Source organism: Homo sapiens, chromosome 7 (assembly GCF_000001405.40).
Source record: "Homo sapiens chromosome 7, GRCh38.p14 Primary Assembly".
In the NCBI taxonomy this organism is placed as follows: domain Eukaryota; kingdom Metazoa; phylum Chordata; class Mammalia; order Primates; family Hominidae; genus Homo; species Homo sapiens.
This window is the reverse complement of record NC_000007.14, coordinates 117,357,752-117,377,445: the sequence shown is the minus strand read 5'-3', so window position 1 is coordinate 117,377,445 and position 19,694 is coordinate 117,357,752. Positions and strand designations below refer to the sequence as shown.

General features: G+C 33.2%; 1 protein-coding gene across 3 annotated transcripts in view, besides 1 other annotated feature; it reads left to right on the top strand.

Annotated features, from left to right (window-relative positions):
* The window catches only part of ASZ1 (ankyrin repeat, SAM and basic leucine zipper domain containing 1), a 64,272-nt gene extending 50,048 nt beyond the window's left edge, over positions 1–14,224 (top strand). For 2 of the 3 annotated variants that reach the window (NM_001301822.2, NM_130768.3), the window contains 3 exons: positions 8,729–8,834; positions 9,981–10,094; positions 13,698–14,224. In NM_001301822.2, the coding sequence (NP_001288751.1) occupies positions 8,729–8,834; positions 9,981–10,094; positions 13,698–13,850 (373 nt within the window). In that variant the 3' untranslated portion in view covers positions 13,851–14,224. The remainder of the gene's footprint in view (positions 1–8,728; positions 8,835–9,980; positions 10,095–13,697) is intronic. The other variant, NM_001301821.2, reaches the window with a different exon arrangement.
* Positions 12,529–12,717: a silencer, noted in NCBI's record as "conserved region 18 (CR18) negative regulatory element (NRE) in the greater CFTR locus". NCBI's record gives its function as "strongly represses an SV40 promoter coupled to the HS2 beta-globin enhancer in the forward orientation in transfected K562 and 293T cells {active_cell/tissue: 293T | K562}" and the evidence as "EXISTENCE:reporter gene assay evidence [ECO:0000049][PMID:18436892]".
* Positions 14,225–19,694: the final 5,470 nt, after the last annotated feature.

Genomic DNA, 19,694 nt, shown 5'->3' with positions numbered 1-19,694 from the left:
GGTGATCCTCCCGCCTGAGCCTCCTGAGTAGGTGAGACCATGGGCATGCACCACCATGCCTGGCTAATTTTTGAACTTTTTTGTAGAGACAGAGTCTCCACTTTGTTGCCACAGTTGGTCTCAAACTCCTAGGTTCAAGTGATCCTCCCACCTCGGCTCCCTAAGTACTGGGATGACAAACCTGACCCACCATTTCTGACCTTTGTTTTCTTTCATCAGCATTTTGTCATTTTCATCATACAGATCTCATGCATATTTCATTAGATTTATACCTAAGTATTTCATTTTATTTGGCACAATTGCCAATGGTATTTCTCTTTTTATTTGTTTCCATGTGCAATTGATTTTTGTGTCTCGACTGTACATTTCCACCTTACTGAACTCAGTTATTAGTTCTAGGAGGCTTTTTGTAGATTGTTTGAGATTTTCTATGTAGATAATCATGTAGTCTGCAAAAAGAGGTTAATTTTTTCCTTTCACATTTGTATACCTTTTTTTTCCCTCATGGCAGTGGGTAAGACTTTCAGTATTATGTTGGATAAGAGTGGTAGATAGTGGACATTCTTGCCTTCTTCCCAATCTCAGGAGAAAACCATGCACTTTTTTACTATTAATTAACTGTGATGTTAGCTATAGGTTTTTTTGTAGATTATGAGATTGGGGAAGTTATGCGCTATTCATTTTTCTAAAAGTTTTTATCATGAATGGTTGTGGAATTTTTTCAAATGCTTTTTCTATCCCAACTGATACGACCATATGACTTTTTTCTTTAGCCTGTTGATATGGTTACTTTGTTAGATTTTTAACTATTGAGCCAACCTTGCATACCTGGATTAATCCCATGTGGTTGTGGGTTATTATTCTTTTTATGCATTATTGGATTTGATTTGCCAGTATTTTGCTAAGAATTTTGTGTCTAAGTTCATGATAAATATTGCTCTGTAAGTTTCCTTTTTGTATTTTGTCTGGTTTTGGTATCAGGACAATACTGGCCTCACAAAATGAATTGGGATGTATTCCCCCTCCTTTTATTTTCTGTAAGAGATTGTGTAGAATTGACATTAACTCTTCTTTAAACATTCTGTAGATTTCTCCAGTGAAACCATCTGGACCTGGATATTTTGTGGGGGAAGCTTTTAAATTACAATTTGATTTATTTAATGGTCATAGGATTATTCAAGTTATATCTGTTTTGCTTTGGCTGAGTTTTGGTAATGTGTGGTTTTTCAAGGACTTGGTTCATTTTTTCTAATTTATCAAGCCAAAAGTTGCCCCTAGTATTTCCAGCTACTCTTTGGATGGCTGTGGGATCTGTTATAATACCCCATTTCATTCTTTATATTGGCGATTTCTGTCTTTTCTCTTTTTATCTCTGTTAGTCTTGCTAGAGGTTTATGCATTTTTTTTCAAAGAACCTGCTCTTTTGTTTCAGTAACTTTTCTCTATTGTTTTTGCTTTTAGTGTCATTGATTTCTGCTGTTATTCTTACTATTCCTTCTGCTTACTTTGAATTTATTTTGCTCTTTTTCTAGATTCTTGAGGCAGAAATCTAGATCATTTTTGAGACTTTTTTTCTTATGTAAACATTTAGTCTTTTACATTTCCCTCTCAGCACTGCTTTAGTTGCATTCCACAAATTGTGATACATTGTGTGATCATTTTCATTCACTTCTATGTATATTTTTATTTTCTTTGAGACTCCCTCTTTGACCCATGGATTATCTAAATAACCCATGGTGTATGGTGTTTAATGTCCACATGTTTGGAGATTTTTCTGTTATCGATTTCCAGTTTGATTCTGTTGTGGTCAGAGAATATACACTGTATGATTTCAAGGGTTCGGTAGCTACATGTGACTGGTGGCTAGATGGAGACATAGAGCATTAAGATTTTAAAGGCTTTGGCAGGTTGAAGCAAATCTCTCAAAAATTAATAGAGTTAACTTTAATAAGGATAAATGGAAAGTCTAAGATTAACTATATTTCTATAGGATGGGCCTTAATATACATGAAGAATCATTAAGAGTTTTTAAGTTTATTATTTAGTTTAGGTTAACAGTGTCACATGACTAGTTATGGAAAGCTAGCACTGTTAGGCTGCATTAATAGAAATATAAGGTCCAGAATAAATAAGATAACAGTTTTATTGTACATAATACCTACTTCTAGAGATTTTTGCTTATGGAAAGAATTTAACCGTAGCATAGAATACAAACCCTGTAAGGCCTCTTCTGCCTTTTAGATATATGATTGTCTTTTCAGTAATTTTCACCTAGATTTTATAATCCGAAATAACCTATAATAATTGTTTTCATTCCACCAACTAGATAATTTTGAAATTATGTCACTTAGCAACACCACCTTATAACCAGCCTATGAAATTCTTTTTTCTTTTACAATGGTTTTCTCTCCCCAACTTTGAGGATTTGTACATCAAATGTTTTTCCCCACCTTCTACCTCTCATTGCACTTGGTCCGGTTAATTACATTTTACCCAGTCTCTTGCTTATGTAAGCTGTTCTTTTATTGCTTAGGAAACTCTCTTCCTTTCTTCTTTTGGTTTCATATGAGTCCAAAAGTAACCATTATCACAGGGACTAAGAATAGGAATAATGCCTGTACAGAGGACAAACCAAATTTTTTGCCTCTAGAGCTTTTAAAAGTACATACAAGTTCCCTGTAAGAAATCTTCACAAATATTTTTCTATTTCCTCAGTTTCCTCTAATCTTACTTTTAATACCAGCTTAGTATTCTTTTCTAAGTTTTCTTTTTTTAGTTGATTTAAGAGATCACAATCATTTTATTTTTCTACTAATACAAATACTGTTTTTTATTTCAACGTATTCCAGTTTGATTTTTTCCCTAAAATAATTTTACAAATGAGGATTATATATCTAACATAAAACTACCTTACATGTTAGTAGAGACTTGGTTTTTACATGTATGCTTTTGAAACATATTATGGTTCGTAACCATGATTTATGCTAGTGGTTCCCTTACCTGGCTAAGTTATCAGAATGACCTAAGGAGCTTGGTGTATATATTAACCATGTTATCCATTGCCTGGGACATGACTGTGTAGACAAATTTTATTGAATATTTGGATAAATGAGTTAATGAATTATATCCTATACTTGCAAATGCAATGGTATTATCACTAGTAGACTAAAACTAATATTGTAATTATGAGAAACATTAATTAAACATACAAACAATAGATTTTCACATTATTTTGGAGTTCAGAGAAGTATTCCAGGAAATAATATAGACGATCCTAATTTCTTAAAATCTTTATTAGATAGCTTAAATTATAAATATTCCCCATATTAAAATTCCCTATTCCAATTTCTCCATTCTTCTTCCTTAATATATCCCCATATTACAGCAAGATCTATATTTAAAATAATGCCTCATCATTGTTTCAGAATAACATAATAGCTCTTAAATATTTAAATGCATTGTGAAGGATTTCACTTGTGAGGACTTAAAAATCAGCACACCTTCTTAAATATCATTGTTCATTTTCTTGCTTTTTTTCATTATTGTTTCTATGAAGGAATATTCTAAGTTCTAAATGACTGACTTGCAAATTAAATGTTTTTATATAACTTATTTGTATGATGGCAGGGTTGCCTATATGAATTTACTTTATGGGATTTAATAAATGTAAAGAATGTGCAGAATCCTGAATAGTTCACGTATTAAAAGCTACTGAATTTTTTTAAAAAAATAAAACTGGCAGACATATATTCCAGGAATTTGACCTTGTTATTAAATCACAGACTTTGTTTACATGCTGTTATGGAAAAGGTTTTACTTACCATTTGTTCAAAGTCATTCTTTAAAGAAGAAATTAGTCATTAAGTCATAAGAAAACTAACAGCAGGAAAAGTTGAACTGATTGATTATAATCTCCTGGTAATGTGACTTCAACAATTTACTGATTTATTTGAAGATAGTTTTCTTCTATGTGTCAAAATCTTCTAAAATAATCTGTTACAACAATGCATACACACACTGCATTTACTTTTTTCTGACTTAGTATGTTTGCAGAATTAAAGTATGCAATTTAAAGCCAATGCCGTGGGGTGTGCCTGTAGTCCCATCTACTTGAGAGACTGAGGCAGGAGGATAACTTGAGCCCAGGAGTTCAAGGCCAGCCTTGGCAACATAGCAAGACTCTCTTAAAAAAATAAAGAGTGCAATTTAAAATGTTAATATCCATTCTGTTGCTAATTTTAGATATTTTGAACAGAAATAATAAATTTTCATTCACATTTGAAATTTTTAACTGTTCCTGTTTAGACTCTTTGTCTGAGCTAACTGACATCCACTTGAAGGTGTCAGAAGCATCTCAAAACTATGTCCATCAAGGAAACAGCTCCACCCCAAAAAATCTATATAGATGTTAAGATATTATGTAAAAGTGTATTGTTCACCCCTGTTATTTATAAACATTCTAAAATTGGAAACTCTAAATACTGAACATCAGGAAAATGATTAAATTCCATTGCATCAATATAATTATTTTTTCATCATTAAAATTATTTTGAAACTTAATGTCATGGGAAAATACTCATGATAATTATAAAAGGCACAATATAAAAGGTCATGTGAAGCACAATGTCAGTTATATATATCCATAGGAAAAACACTGGAAGAAAATGTGTATTATAAGAAAATATTCTGAGAGAAAATAGTACCAGTCAGTTGTCTGTGAGTGGTAAGATTGTTGATGATTTTAATCTTTTCCAGATATTCTACAGTGAGCGCATAATACCTTTGCTTATAAATACCTTTATTTAAAGTGTAAATTTTATCTTAGTACTTGACTTCAAATTTTTTAAATGGCCTGTTGTTTTAGTTCGCTTATACTGTGTTATGCTGTAGTAACAAATAATTTCTAAATGTCAGTCACTTATAACAAGACTTTATTTCCTGATCGTCTATATCATGGCTCAGCAACAGTGATCTTGTCATTCTGAGAGTAGGCTGGAGGAACAGTCTCAACCTGGGACATACTGATCTCATGGGAAAGGGAAGAGAGAGATGGCAGGATCATTCAGTGGCTCTTGAAGCTTCTGTTCAAAAGTTACACAGTAACTTCCAATCATATTTTATTTGCTAAAGCAAGTCATGTGGTCAGGCCTCATGTCACTGGGGCATGAATTATAGTCCCCTGACAGGGATCGGGGGACTGGTACTAGTTAGCTCTGTAGAAAAGACATGAGAATTTGATCAAATAATGCAGTCTACTATACCTATGTCATATCTGCTTATTTTGAATTTTTTAAATAAGCACAAAGTTATCAGGCCTGCCATATAAAGTTGTGTAGGTTATATACTGTACAGCTGTGATGGAGAGGCACCATTCACATAGTGTAAATGGCACACTGTTGAGTTTTGTTTTGTACAATTTGTCCATCCATATTCAGTGGCTCTGAAAATTATATGTCACAAGAAAGGTATATATTTTCGTTTCATTCATTAAGACTAATTTTGCTAGTAATAAAATTTGCTTATTTGAACTCAGTCTTACTATCTTAAGAATAAGAGCTGATAAATTTATATTCCGCATATATATTTGTGAATCACCTGTCTAAAATTACATACCTGCTATCAGTTGATACTTCCAATGATAATTCTCAATGGATCTTAATTTCCTTGAGGTCATAAATTAAATATATATGGCATTAGTGAATTACTCATTTAGTAGTTATTCTTTTTCTTGATAAATAAAATTTGAATATTTAAAGAACACTGAAATCTAAGTTATAAGTGTACTTATATAAATAGTACATGGAAACAAAATACAAGTAATCACTGCTGTTGCTTTGGCAGAAATGTGTCATATACCCTAAGTTCTGTGTTTTCTAGAGTAAAGATCAGAAAGAAAATAAAGAAGATTTACATCTTTTTTGAAAATGGTTCTATGAATACTTACTGCTAAATAGAACAAGAGTTTTCCTACATTTTTTAATTTTAGGTTTGCTTGTTGAAAGCAACCATCAGGTACTTTTTATTCTTAGTGACTTGATTATATGTATTATGTATATAAAGTTTATATTTTATAAAACTGTTAAAGTGAAATTGTTCATTTTTTTCAGCCTAATAGCTAAGAGAATAGACTTGTCTTAAATGAAAATACTATATACATCCCAGTAATGTATCTTAGAAGTTTGCTATTATTTTCATTGGAGGCTGACATTGCTTGCTTTTTATAACCTTTCCTTCTAGAAATAGTGTAAGAAACTTTGTATAGTATGTAGTCAAAACTTCTACAAGTAAGAATTTCTGTATGGGCTTAGAAGTATCCTTTGGGGGCTAGGATGGTGGCTCACGCCTATAATGTTAGCACTTTGGGAGGCTGAGGCAGATTGATCACATGAGGCCAGGAGTTCAAGGCGAGCCGGGCCAACATGGTGAAACCCCATCTCTACTAAAAATACAAAAATTAGCTGGGCATGGTGGTACACACCTGTAATCCCAACTACTCAGGTGGCTGAGGCATGAGAATCACTTGAACCCAGGAGCAGAGGTTACAGTGAGCCTCGCATCACTGCACTCCAGCCTGGGCAACAGAGCAAGACTCTGTCACACACACACACACACACACACACACACACACACACACACACACAATTACCTTTGGTCCAATAATAGTAATTTTTATTGTATTTTTATTTCAGTAGATACTGTTAAAGGACTCCCCAGAAAGGTCATCTAATACACTTGTCAACTCTTGATATTAATGATCTACTTAATTTTTGTCATTCTGCTAGAATGTGGCATCTTATGGTTATTGTATTCCCATATTTGTTATCCATTCAAATTTTGTTTCTTTCTTTTTCTCTGAATTCTCTGTTAATAGCCTTGACCAACTTTTCTGTTGGGTTAAGTTTCTTGGTTGTTTCTACTGTAAATTGGCTTCTGCCACTGAAGCTAATCTAGTCACCAGTGTTTTCTCATTGCCAAAATCAGTATACTTAATGTGCCTAATCTTTTCTCCTTTGAATCCATCCCTTTCATTGCCATTCATAACAACTCTTAACTACTGATTTTCTTCTACTTCTCAGGCTACGTTTCCTTTAGTGGCTTTTCTGTTCCACCCCTATCAACTCTCCCTTCTTCACAATATGTCCTGTGGTCTTCTTTATGATCATAGTTTTGATTTCTGTTGGAGACATCTCTAATACTACTGTGTCTGTGCTACCTTCGCAATTGAAGGAAAGACTGAATCTTGGTTAGAGGTTAGTGAAAATAAAGATGTATTTTTTTCCCATTGAGGTTCACCGACTCTGAATTGTATCTATCTTCATGAGTCTTTAGAGCCCAGAATAAATACCCTTGCAAGACCCCCATTTTCTACCACTTACTGGTTGTTGCCACCCGCATGTCTCCTCACCATTGCAGTCATCATAATTATGTTTGCTTGAACACCAGCTATGTACTAGGCACAATCCTAGGTACTTTATGTACATTGTTTTCTTGAGACCTACTGTCTCCATTCTAGAGATACGGAAACATTTGGCTTAAGATTATTCTTGCCCAAAATCATAAAGCTAATAAGTGTGGAAGCTGAATCCAAACTCACATTGACTCTTGACTCAAGAGCCTGTGTTCTTAATTATTATGCCATAATGTTTTCTTTTATCCCACTGTTTTCCCCACCATGCACCACCAAATTCAATTCCTTGCTTGGCAGCACCGCCTTCCGTGGAAACCAAAAAAACTGAGAATCATCGTAGATTCTTCCATTACGTACAATCCATCACCAAGTTTTTCAGTTTATTCTCCTAAAGGTTTCTCAAGTCATTGCTCTACCTCCTCCCCACAGTAAGACTGCCACTGCCAGATCCTTAGTTTAAGTTTTCCTTCATCATCTCTTGGATGCATTTCTCTGTTAGTTGCCTAATTATTCTGCTTCTATTTTTGTGTTCCTTTTATCCACACCACTCTCCAAATAAACATTCTCATTTAAAAGTCTAATTTTCAAATTTCCTGTTGAAAATCTCTTAGTAACTCTACATCATCAGAAAGGTAAAATCTAATTCCTTATGCTGACACAAAAGTTCTTTTAATAAATGGTTATATCCAGCCTTTTCTCTTACTACTTTTCAATAATTTGTGTTTTAATTACACCTTAGTGACCTTTACCCCTGTACTCTTGCACCTGCTATTCTCTTTATCCAGAATCTCTTCCTTACCTACTTGGCAAACTTTTTCTTCAACCACAGACTCAATTCAAGTATTATCTCTGTAAAGCATTTCTAATTCCCTACTCCCTCCTTCTCATGTGATACTAAATTCATTCCCCCTGAATTTTAGATGTCTCCACTATAAAATAGTATTAACAACATCTATCCTATAGGGGTTGTTAGGAAAAATCAAAAGAAATAACAAATGTAAAATAACTAGTACAGTGTCTTCACATAGTAGCTACTCAAATATTGGTTATTTTGTCTTCCTCCTTCATGTGTTCCTGTGAATAATAAAGCTGTAATTGTATATCTGCATCTTATCCTGAACTTTAAGATCCTCGGGATTGGAGGTTTGTTTTTCTTTTATAATCAATGCCTGTTTCAGTACCTAATCTGTATTAGCTATTCCATGAATTCTTTTGGAAGAATCTAATTTTATGACTAGATTTTCAGTAACTTGCCTAGTAGAATGAAATAAATTGCTCTTATTAGTAATTCCTGCTTGTTTGTTTGTTTCCTTTCTTTAGTGGTGATGAGTTCCTCAACTTTCTTCTCAAATTAAATAAACAGTGTGGCCATTTAATAACAGCTGTACAGAATGTTATTACTGAGTTACCTGTAAATTCTCAAAAGGTATTCTACAAAAGTTATTAAGTGAAGAAAAGTATGAACACTGAAGAACATTCCAGATAAGTTCATGATAATTCAATAAATAGTATTGATTTGCTGAAATTACATCGTTTGTTCTGCAAAATCACATAAGATCTAAATAAGTCAATTTGTTTAATATTACTCCTTTACATACTGATTTTAAAACTTTGTATTCTTGCCTTCAAGAAAAAGAAAATGAGTCAGACCAAAAATTAAACTGATCCGTGTATTGAATTTACCATGTGTTCTTTTTTAAAATATAAAGTGACAGGAGACCCAAGTGAAAATGGAAATAAAACAGTGTGTTATTTAAAAACCATATCAATAAAATATTTTTAAATAAATTTAGAATAGGAAGAGTGTAAGTGGCTGGGCATAGTGGCTCACATCCGTAATCCCAACACTTTGGGAGGCCCACGTGGGAGAATTGCTTGAGGCCAGGAGTTTGAGACCAGCCTGAGCAGCATGGTGAGACCCTGTCTCTACAAAGAATTTTTAAAAATTAGCTGCGCATGATGGCATGTGCCTCTAGTCCTAGCTGAAAATTAGCTGGGCATGATGGCATGCACCTGTGGTCCTAGCTATTCAGGAGGCTGAGGCAGGAGGATCACTTGAGCCCAAGAGGTTGAGGCAGCAGTGAGCCATGATTGCACCACTGCACTCCAGCCTGGGCAACAGAACAAGACACTTTCTCAAAAAAAAGAAAGAAAAAGTGGAAGTGGCCTGCAAAAGCAGCTTATTTCATGTGATTAGGTTTTAGCTGTTTGTCTTAGTGAAAATTTTTTAATGCACTTGTTTTCCAGTGATTTTTATATAACATCAATTAATATGAGAATCATCATTTTTAAAACCTTCATGAACTGATTTGTTCATCATAAATGTTATTACTAATATTAATCTCCATATAGAAAGTTATATATACATATATTCAGGAAATGCATTTGGCAAGCTCATTTGATTATATTTTTATAAAATTACTTATTTTTGGTGTCAGTATTTATCCTAAACAAAAAAATGCCTTTCAATTATGTAATCTAATGTTTAAGAATGTTGTATAATCTTTGTGGATATAAAGTTGTAGAAAGTTATTTCCATTATTTAATGTTGAACTTTTGAAAATATTAACAGATAACACTGGAATGGGCTTCTCCCCAGAATTTTACTTCAGTTTGTGAAGAATTGGTTAATAATGTTGAAGATTTGAGTGAAAAGGTCTGCAAACTAAAAGACCTAATTCAAAAGGTATATATTTAACATTAAAAGGAGGGGAAAAATGAAGGGAAATGATTTACAGCAAAAGGTGTTAGACAATGAAGCAGTTCTGGTAAGAGCAACAAATGGAACACTTAGACAAGTGGGAAAAAGGACAGTTTCCAAAGGAAGAAATATACACAGGAAACAGACTTTGTTGGCCATTAAGCAAATGCGTACTAAAAGAAGAATATGTCATTTTTATCTTTTCAATTAGCAGGGAAAAATGTATCACTACCAATTTCTACTTAGAGTTCACCAAACTGATATTCTTATGTGAGAACACAAGCCCTTTCAAAAACAGTTTGGCAGGATGTGCCAAATACTATTAAATATTTGTATCTTTTGATAGTATTTTATCCCAAATTATATGTACCATAAGTATTCTATACTAGGAGAACAACTTAATAAATTATGCTATACCAATTGTTATAATAGGCAGTTGAAAAAATAATGAAAATTAAATATCAGCTAAAGATATGAAATTATATTTGTACGTTATTACTTACATGTAAATGTACAGATAAAATAAATGAAGTATTTATTGGTTCTGTTAAAGAGACACGATTGTGGATGAAATACCCCTGTAATTGTCCAGACTCTCTGTAATATTTTTATAATTTAACTGTTTTCTAAAGAGTATGGACTTCTTTGGTTCTGGTTTTTTACAATATAGAAAAAATATATAATATATATCTGTATTTAAGGACAGGTGATTTTTCCACTTTAAAAAAAATTGGCTATAACAAAATCTAAGCTGTTGGAATGGGAACCTTTGTTGGAGATGGATAATAAAGAAAAACACTTCCAGTCGACTAAAGAGCTCACTTCCGAGCTCTTTATCTGTTTAATACATAAATTTGATGTCTATAAAGCTTTTGTGAAATATCTGATTTGAAGGATAGATTATACATTATTTATACAGCTTCAACCCATAATTCATTTAACATTTTCATTAATATTTTATCAAAAAAGTTCTTTTCTTCAAAATAGATTGTATACATGTTCCAAGTATTAATAAATTGTCATTCTAGCTATTAATGTGTTAAATCAAAAGGAGTCTTTTTTTTTTCTTTTTTGATACTGAGTCTCACTCCATTGCCCAGGCTGGAGTGCAGTGGTGCAATCTTGGCTCACTGCAACCTCCGCCTTCCAGATTCAAGCAATTCTCCTGCCTCAGCCTCCTGAGTAGCTGGGACTACAGGCATGCACCACCACACCCAGCTAATTTTTGTATTTTTAGTAGAGATGAGGTTTCACCATGTTGGCCAGACTGGTCTCAAACTCCTGATGTCAAGTGATCCACTTGCCTCGGCCTCCGAGTGTGCTGAGATTACTGGTGTGCGCCATTGCGCCTGGCCCAAAAGGAGTCTTTTAAAGTGAGAAGAAAGTTGTGAAGCAAATTCTATTATACAAAATAATAGCTGGGAAAGAACATTTTAAATGAGGAAATGAGCACTATGTTTCAGAATTCTTGTAGAAAATAATTTATTTCCAAAGAAAAAAGGCATCTTAGAAATTGTATTGTCTCTGACATTTATTCATTCAACAAACATAAGACTGCCTGCTATATGTCAGGCACCTGTGCTACACAAGCTACATCCTGAACTTGCTGATGACCCAAAAATTATATCTCATCTAGAAGAATCAAAGGAAAGGAACTGATCCTACTTAAACATGCCATTTTTCATGGGTATCCCAGGGAAGTTTAGAAGCATATGTATAAAGATACTTCTTGCAAAACATCAGCCTTTAATGTTTAGTGTAGGAAATTTCCTAAAAGCTATTTGCTTCAGGGTTATTTACTAATTTGGTTTCTCCAAGATGAACTAAAAACATGGGGGTGAGGGGTAAGGGTGTGTGTATAGAATTAAAATGAAATTAGAAAACCATATTTTTGTTAAATGAGTGAAATTAAGAAACTTTGCTATAGAAACTGACTCTAAAGTATACACAATTCAATCAGGTACCATATTTATTTTAATAATGCATACCTGTTAAGAGAATTTTCATTGTTCTTTGGCTAAATAGAAGACCTTTTTCCCGTGACCCTTCTCTATTTAGAATTTATGCATTTCTATATAAGAACTACCCTTGAAAACATGTATTAGTTTATAATAATGGCAAATACAGTTCTTTGGGCAAGAAAGTCTTAAATTTTGGAGCAAGCTAGTGGGTTGGTTTTTTCAGATTAGTCTTGTACAAGTAGTAATCATCATAATGAGATTTGATTTAGGGAATTATGAAGGCTTCCAGATTTGGAAATATGCTATCATGCCTGTTAAGCTTATATTATTTCAGAGTTTACCAATAATAATTGAAGGGATTTTTTTTTAAGAAACATAAGTTATCACAGATAAGTGTATGGAGGTAACAGAGAGAGGGTGGGAGAGGTCAAGGCTAGACTTTAACACCACATCACTCTCTTTCAAGCCAACACACTGACAGGCTCCTGTCAGAAAGGGTCATTCTAAGTAATTGATTAATAAAAGGAATGACTGTCTCAGGATTCAGTAAATGGAGCATCAGTGTCAAAAAGGAATCTGTTGCTGAATGAAGCCATTTGGAAGTCAGACCAAGAATATGGTATTAATGAGATTGGCATTGGAGTCTGGTTTTCTGCTATAAATTTAAAATTAATTTTGCAAGCTTTTTAATTAAATATTTACACTGTAGAATTTGGAAGTCATTATTCCTGCTGATGTTGAAAGTATTTATGTCATCACTCCAGCACAGGATGTTTCTAGTAAATATCACTCTATAAATGTGCCTGATTCTTTTTATCTTTCAAGGATCTTTGGTTTCTGCTTATTTTCTCTCCTGCCCCACCCCCAAAAGCCATCCCTCTCCTCTCAGCCCTCCCTCTTTAAGTCTTTTCTCTCTCTCTCACTTCCCCCTTCTCTCTCTCTCTCTCTCTCTCTCTGTCTCTCTGTCTCTCACAGAAACACACACACACAGATACACACAGAGTGGGCACACACACACAGTAGGTAGGGGAGAAGGGAGCTTCTTAAGCAAGAAATTTGCATCTGGGAAGTTAGAAACTGACTGGGTACTGTACTTTCATTGCTGAGAATTACTAAAAGAACCACTTAAGTTTTTGTTGACATTTGTTACTGCAATTCTATTTAAATAAATTAAGTTTCTACCAGTAGCATCTGATCTTCTCGTTTTTGCTAAATTTCATGTTTTAGGTTTGCTATAATAATGATTCACTTTTTTGTAAGACGTTAATTGATATTTAATGCACAAGCAAATCAATATCAATTGTCATTCCTTATAAGTAAAACAGAAACTTTAAATTTAAAGTTACTTTGTCTCGTGACATTAAAAACACCATTTTAAAATGTGATCATCTATGAAAGCATGTATTTTTAATGTAAAACTAATGATTTACAGTAATGGGATTCTAATGAAAGACTGTCTTTCAGACATATATGTTTACTTTAAATCTTCCATGGGAATCTTGAGTTGCCTACATCTAAATCAAGTGAAATGAATTAACATGGATATTATGATATTTTTTAAAATCAAAATGTTTTATTAATGTATTGTACAGTAACTCCTCTTTTCTTTTTCCATACTAAATATTAGTTGCAAAATGAACGGGAAAATGATCCAACTCATATACAATTAAGGGAAGAAGTATCTACATGGAATAGTAGAATTTTGAAGAGGACAGCTATTACCATATGCGGATTCGGTTTTCTTCTTTTCATTTGCAAGCTAACTTTCCAGAGGAAATAATCCAAATATTTGTTTTAAGTTATATATACACATCTTATTGAACCATCCAAAAATCATTGCTTTTAACTGTTTGCAGCACAATATAACTTTACATTCTTTGCCAATATTCCATAGGAAAAATTTTGACAATGTGGAGTTTTTTTTTAAAAAGTGGTTTGTTACTTTGACTTATAAATACAATTTGTTATGTTTATGTTAATTGTGATTAGGTAGTAAAGTATAAGTAATTTTTTGGTTTGATCGTATCTAAATCACATTCAAAATTAAAGTTATATCTAATATCTTTGACATTTTTTAAAGTGTGTTCATTTGTCAGTGAATCGTACAGGATTTGTAAAGTGTTCATAAATTGAGCTTTCTTTTGTTTCTTTTTTCCCCCTCCATTATTACATAATATGGATTTTTATTGGATTTTTTTGTTATATTACATTATGAGGAAATTATTAATTTTGAAAGTATCTGAGAGAATACAAAGGATAAAGGTAAAATGTTAAAGTTTTGAATTGTGGATTAAATCCTTAGGAAAAGTATTTTAAATACAAATTAAAACAGCAAAAAATTAGAGACTGGTGTTGAAAGTACAAAGTACATTGGAATTTTTTATGTAAAATACTTTGGGGAACATACATACTATATAACATTCTTAGGAATATTATAAAAGTGAATGGCATTTGACATATTATTTATCATATCTAAAGTAAGATTTATTTTTCAAAATCAAACTAATGATTTTCAGATTTTTAAAGTGAAGTTAATAAAATGGCAGGCCCAATTTAGCAGAGAATATAGTACTTAAATCTTGCCTGACTTAGTGCCATACTTAAACAGATGCAGTTGATCTACAGTTGTTTGAGAAGTAAACAAAGCACAGATAAAGAATTGTGGAAAGGAAGAACATTATAAGGATCTATAATTAGTAGCAGTTTCTGCTCTTGCTTATACCAAAACTACAAGATTTCAATCATTCTTTTCTTGAGAATTGGCCATATTTTAACCTAACTGCTAAATAGCAAGGCATATTTTTTTGCTGATATTTCCTCATTTAAATGAGTCTTAGAAGTTCTAAAGGTACTTCTTTTAACACATACAGTGTTTCACTCCCAGTCAGCACAGTGCTTGGGTAAATAGAAAACATTTAATAAATCTTAGTTTTAGTTTCCTTTTTAAAAAAAAAAAAATTTTAAAAAGCACTCTCAGAAAATGACATACTATCAGATTATCTATTTATGATTGTCTTTTTCACCTCAGTTCATCTTAAAGATAATGATATTTCTTCTATTGGCTGGGTAGGTCACTATTTTTTTTCTTCTGACAAAACCAAACCATCTCGCAAATATTAGGACAAACTGTGAAGATGTGAATTTATAAAATATTTGCTTTCCAAAAGGATTTGTCACAGAAGTCCATAAAATGGTGATTTTTCATTTCCATGACACAGTGTGATTTTTAGATTACAGATTGAGAATAAGTACAGCAGCATTGTTGTGATTAGTGAAGTTATTTCTATGGGTAAAGTATCAATAGAATTATTATTTTTCTTGTAATTTAAAATTGGTTATTTCATCTAGAGCATAAGTCTCTTCCTACTCTGATTATTTCACCTGATTACAGTGCTTTTTGCGGGAAGGGAGGCATTTATTGCTTCTGGAATATCCATTCTTTTGTAACACATAACTCAGTATAAATCATTTTTCTTCTCTTCTTCAAACAAGAAGAGGATTTAAAGTAAGTCTCCCTTAGAGACTTCCCTGAACCACAGATACAAATGTTGTCAACTGAGTTTTAATTCTATGCACTTGAAAGTAGTAAACCTTTTTTAAAATTAGTTGGTATTTAATTTTTAATTAATCTGAATTAGAAAATGGTCCTATATCTTTAGAACCAACTCTGGAACACAAATAATCTATTTTGAGGATGTAAGTATCTTTCAAAGAGAAGCATGCTTACTTGTCCCATCTTGCCACTATCCTTAAGTGATGTGTTTAGTGCTCTTTGTCAGTCTTAGTACATTTCTCTGATACACTTACTACATTTCTCTGATACATTCAGTAACCTTTTTACCAGATAACTATTTCGCGCTGCTCTTTCCTCAAACTTCTGAGACCTCCACATCTCATTCTTAAAATGATGGCTATGCTTCTTATTTCCCTGGGAAATAGAATCATTTTTTAAAAAGAACTTGCATACTGGGTTTCCTCTAGTTAAGAGGTCAGCAAACATTTTTTTTGTAAAGGTCCAGATAGTAAATATTTTAGACTTTGCAGGACATGTGGTCTCTGTCAACATTTCTTAACTCTGCTGTTATAGCACAAAAGCAGCTATATACAGTACATAAATGAATGAATGTGGCTTTGGTACAATAGAACTTTATTTACAAAAACAGGTGTTGCCTGGATTTGGCCCACCAACCTATAGTTTACAGACCTCAGTCTAATGTCACAGAGTTACAAATGTGAGGCTCTTTTAATCCTGATAATCTAGGCAGAGATTTATTAATTTTGTTAATATTTTCAAATAATCAGCTTTTGCGTTTATTGGTCAACTACATTTTAAAAATTTTATTTCATTTTCACCTTTATTATTTCCTATCTTAATTGTTTGGGTTCTTTTTTTTTTTACTCAGTTATTTTAAACACACTTGAAATATTTTTTGCTTTCTGAGAAAAGAATTAAAAGCCCCGTATTCTGCGTACTGTAGTTTCACAGTTCATTTTAAAATACATCTATTTTTCCCTATTGGGTTATTACAGTATTTATATATTGACATTTATTTCATAAATTATTTTTTCCAAATTGCTTTTGAAAAAAAAACTGCATTGTGACTTCCAACTTACATTTCTGCAACTTTTTCTTTTGAAAAAAAAAGTATTGCTCAAAAATAAACTGATTATACTGTAAAGAACTATTATGGTTTCTTAGGCTCAGGACAGAGATGGACAGATTACCATTTGAATGCCTAATATATGGCAAACACTTCATAAATGTTACATTTAATTCATAGGCCAGGGCCATGAGATATATATTCCTATTTTACAGAAAATGAGTTTCAGAGACAGTTGAAGTAAATTGTTGAAATTCACACTGCTAATAAGAAAGCTGGGATTTTAATCCAATCAGTTTAACTTCAAGTCCCATGCTCTTTCCAGCACTCATGCATTCATTCACTCACATATTTACTGAGCACTTATGTGTCAGGCATTTTTTCTAGATGTTGGGAAATCAATTATCCCTGCCCTCATGGAACTTCTAATGGAAATAAACCAACAGATAAAGCATAAGATATTAGATGTGATAAGTGCTATGAAGACAAGACAAAAGGAAATAGGAAGTGCAGGGTAGAAGTAGTACTTTGAGTGGTCAGGGAAGATGTCTCAAACTTCAGAACGTTTGAGAACATAAAGGATTAGAGAGTAAGCCATACAGATATCTGGGGGTAAACTATTCCAGAACAAAATCCATGAGGTACAAATATCACTATAGCAATAAAGTGTGGTTTTTTTTATTTTTATTTTTTGAGATGGAGTCTTGCTGTGTCACCCAGGCTGGAGTGCAGTGGCATGATCTCGGCTCACTGAAACCTCTGCCTCCTGGGTTCAGCAATTCTGCCGCAGCCTCCCAAGTAGCTGGGATTGCAGGTGCCTGCCACCACACCTGGCTAATTTTTTTTCGCATTTTTAGTAGAGACGGGGTTTCACCATATTGACCAGGCTGGTCTTGAACTCCTGACCTTGTGATCCGCCCGCCTCAGCCTCCCAAAGTGCTGGGATTACAGGCGTGAGCCACTGCACCCGGCCTGTACTGTTATTTTTAAATGGACTAGAGGCACCAGTGTGGATGCTGTGAGACTAGTTAGGAGGCTGCTGCAATATTCCAGGTGCAAGATGATGGTAGCTTGAATTAACATTGGAAAATGAAAGCAGTTGAGTTCAAGACACATTTTTAAGATATAACCAATAGGATTTACTTAACAGGTTGAGTGTGAGTTCTAAGTGAAAAGCAATAGTCAAAGATAACTTTAAGTTTTTTGGCTTGAGCAACCAGAAGAATGGAGTTGCCATTTACCGAAAGAAGGAAGTCTCTGAGAAGACAAAAACAATTAGGAGAGATGAGAAGGGAGTAATTTCTAATAATCAGAGTATTTTAGTCAGAAATTCAGAGGAGAGAGACACAGGCAGAAGTTAAAAATTTGGATGTTGTCACTTTAGAGATAAGAAGACCTGACTGGATCCCTAAGGGAATAATGTAGACAAAGAAGAAGGGTAGGTCCTAGGATACCAAAATTCAAAGGAAGGGAGACAGGAAGAATCAGGAAAGGAAATTAAAGAGTGGCCAGTGAGGCTAGGCAAGAGCATACACAGGTCAGCATCCTTCAACCCATGGGCCAAATTTGGCCCAGAGGATGGTCAACAGCATTAGTCAGTAGGGAAATGTAAATTAAAACCACCATGAAATATACCATTACACACTCATCAAAAAGACTAAAATTTAAAAAGAATGACACCAAGTGGTAGTAGGGATAAAGTACTTGAAACTCATACATTACTAGTTTAAACCACAGAGTGGAAAAACCATTTTGGAAAACCATTTGGCAGTATCTATTAAAACTAAACATGTTTTCTTGATGACCCAGCAGTTCTTCTGAATATATGCCCTAGAGAAATGAGTTCACACTTCCCCAGAAAGACATGTACAGGAATGTTCACAGTAGGTTTATTAATAGCCCAAAACTGCAACAGATAAATAACACAATAGTTGGACAATGGAATACTGCATAGTAATAAAAAAGAACAAACTATGACTACACACAAAAACATGGGCAAAACGGACAGATATAATACTGAGCAAAAGAAGCCAAACACAAAATTTTGTACATACCATATTATGAATTTATACATAAGTTCAAAATAGGGAAAACTTATTTATGGCAAAACTTATAGAAGTGATGGTAGTGGCTAGGTCTGAGAAGTAGGTATTGACTGGGAAAGAATAAAGGATACTGGAAATATTTTATCCTGATCTGGCCAGGAGTTGCTTGAGTATATACATAAAAATTCAATGATATGTACAATTTCAAGCCCCAAAATTCCAAGATTTCAAGAGGTAAAAAATTGGCATATTAACAAAAATGGATTATGAAAAAACCAACTATAAAATGCCTACTCTACAACCTAAGTTTGAAAACAAGTTTAATTGTAGATATTGAAAAAAAAAAAACTGCTGAATTTAAAGAGAAATTAAGAGAGTTTTAAAATCTGGTATTAGTAAGGATAGTTTTCATGTAAGATAGTAAATTTGGAATTAGAAGACCATTAATATGATCAAGTTTATCACATTTTTGATAAACAGCAAACATAAGGTTATAAAGTGTAAGAATGAATACTTTATAAATATTTGCAAATTAAAATATTTAAAAATAGTAAATGCAGTCCTGCATCACTTAAAGACGGGGATACATTCTGAGAATCCATCGTTAGGCAATTCTGTCATTGTGCAAACATCATAGAGTGTATTTAAACAAACCTAGAGGTATAGCCTGCTACACATCTAGACTTTATGGTACTCCTAGACTACCCTGTACAGCATGTTACTGTACTGAATATTTTGGGCAAGTAAGACAATGGTATTTGTATCAAAACATATCTAAACATACAAAAGGTACAGTAAAAATACAATATAAAAGGTAAAAATGGTACACCTGTATAGGACACTTACCATGAATGAAGCTTGCAGGACTGGAAGTTGCTCTGGGTGAATCAGTGAGTAAGTGGCTAGTAAATATGAAAGCCTAAGACATTGCTGTATACTACTGTAGACATTATAAACACTGTGCACTTAGGCTACACT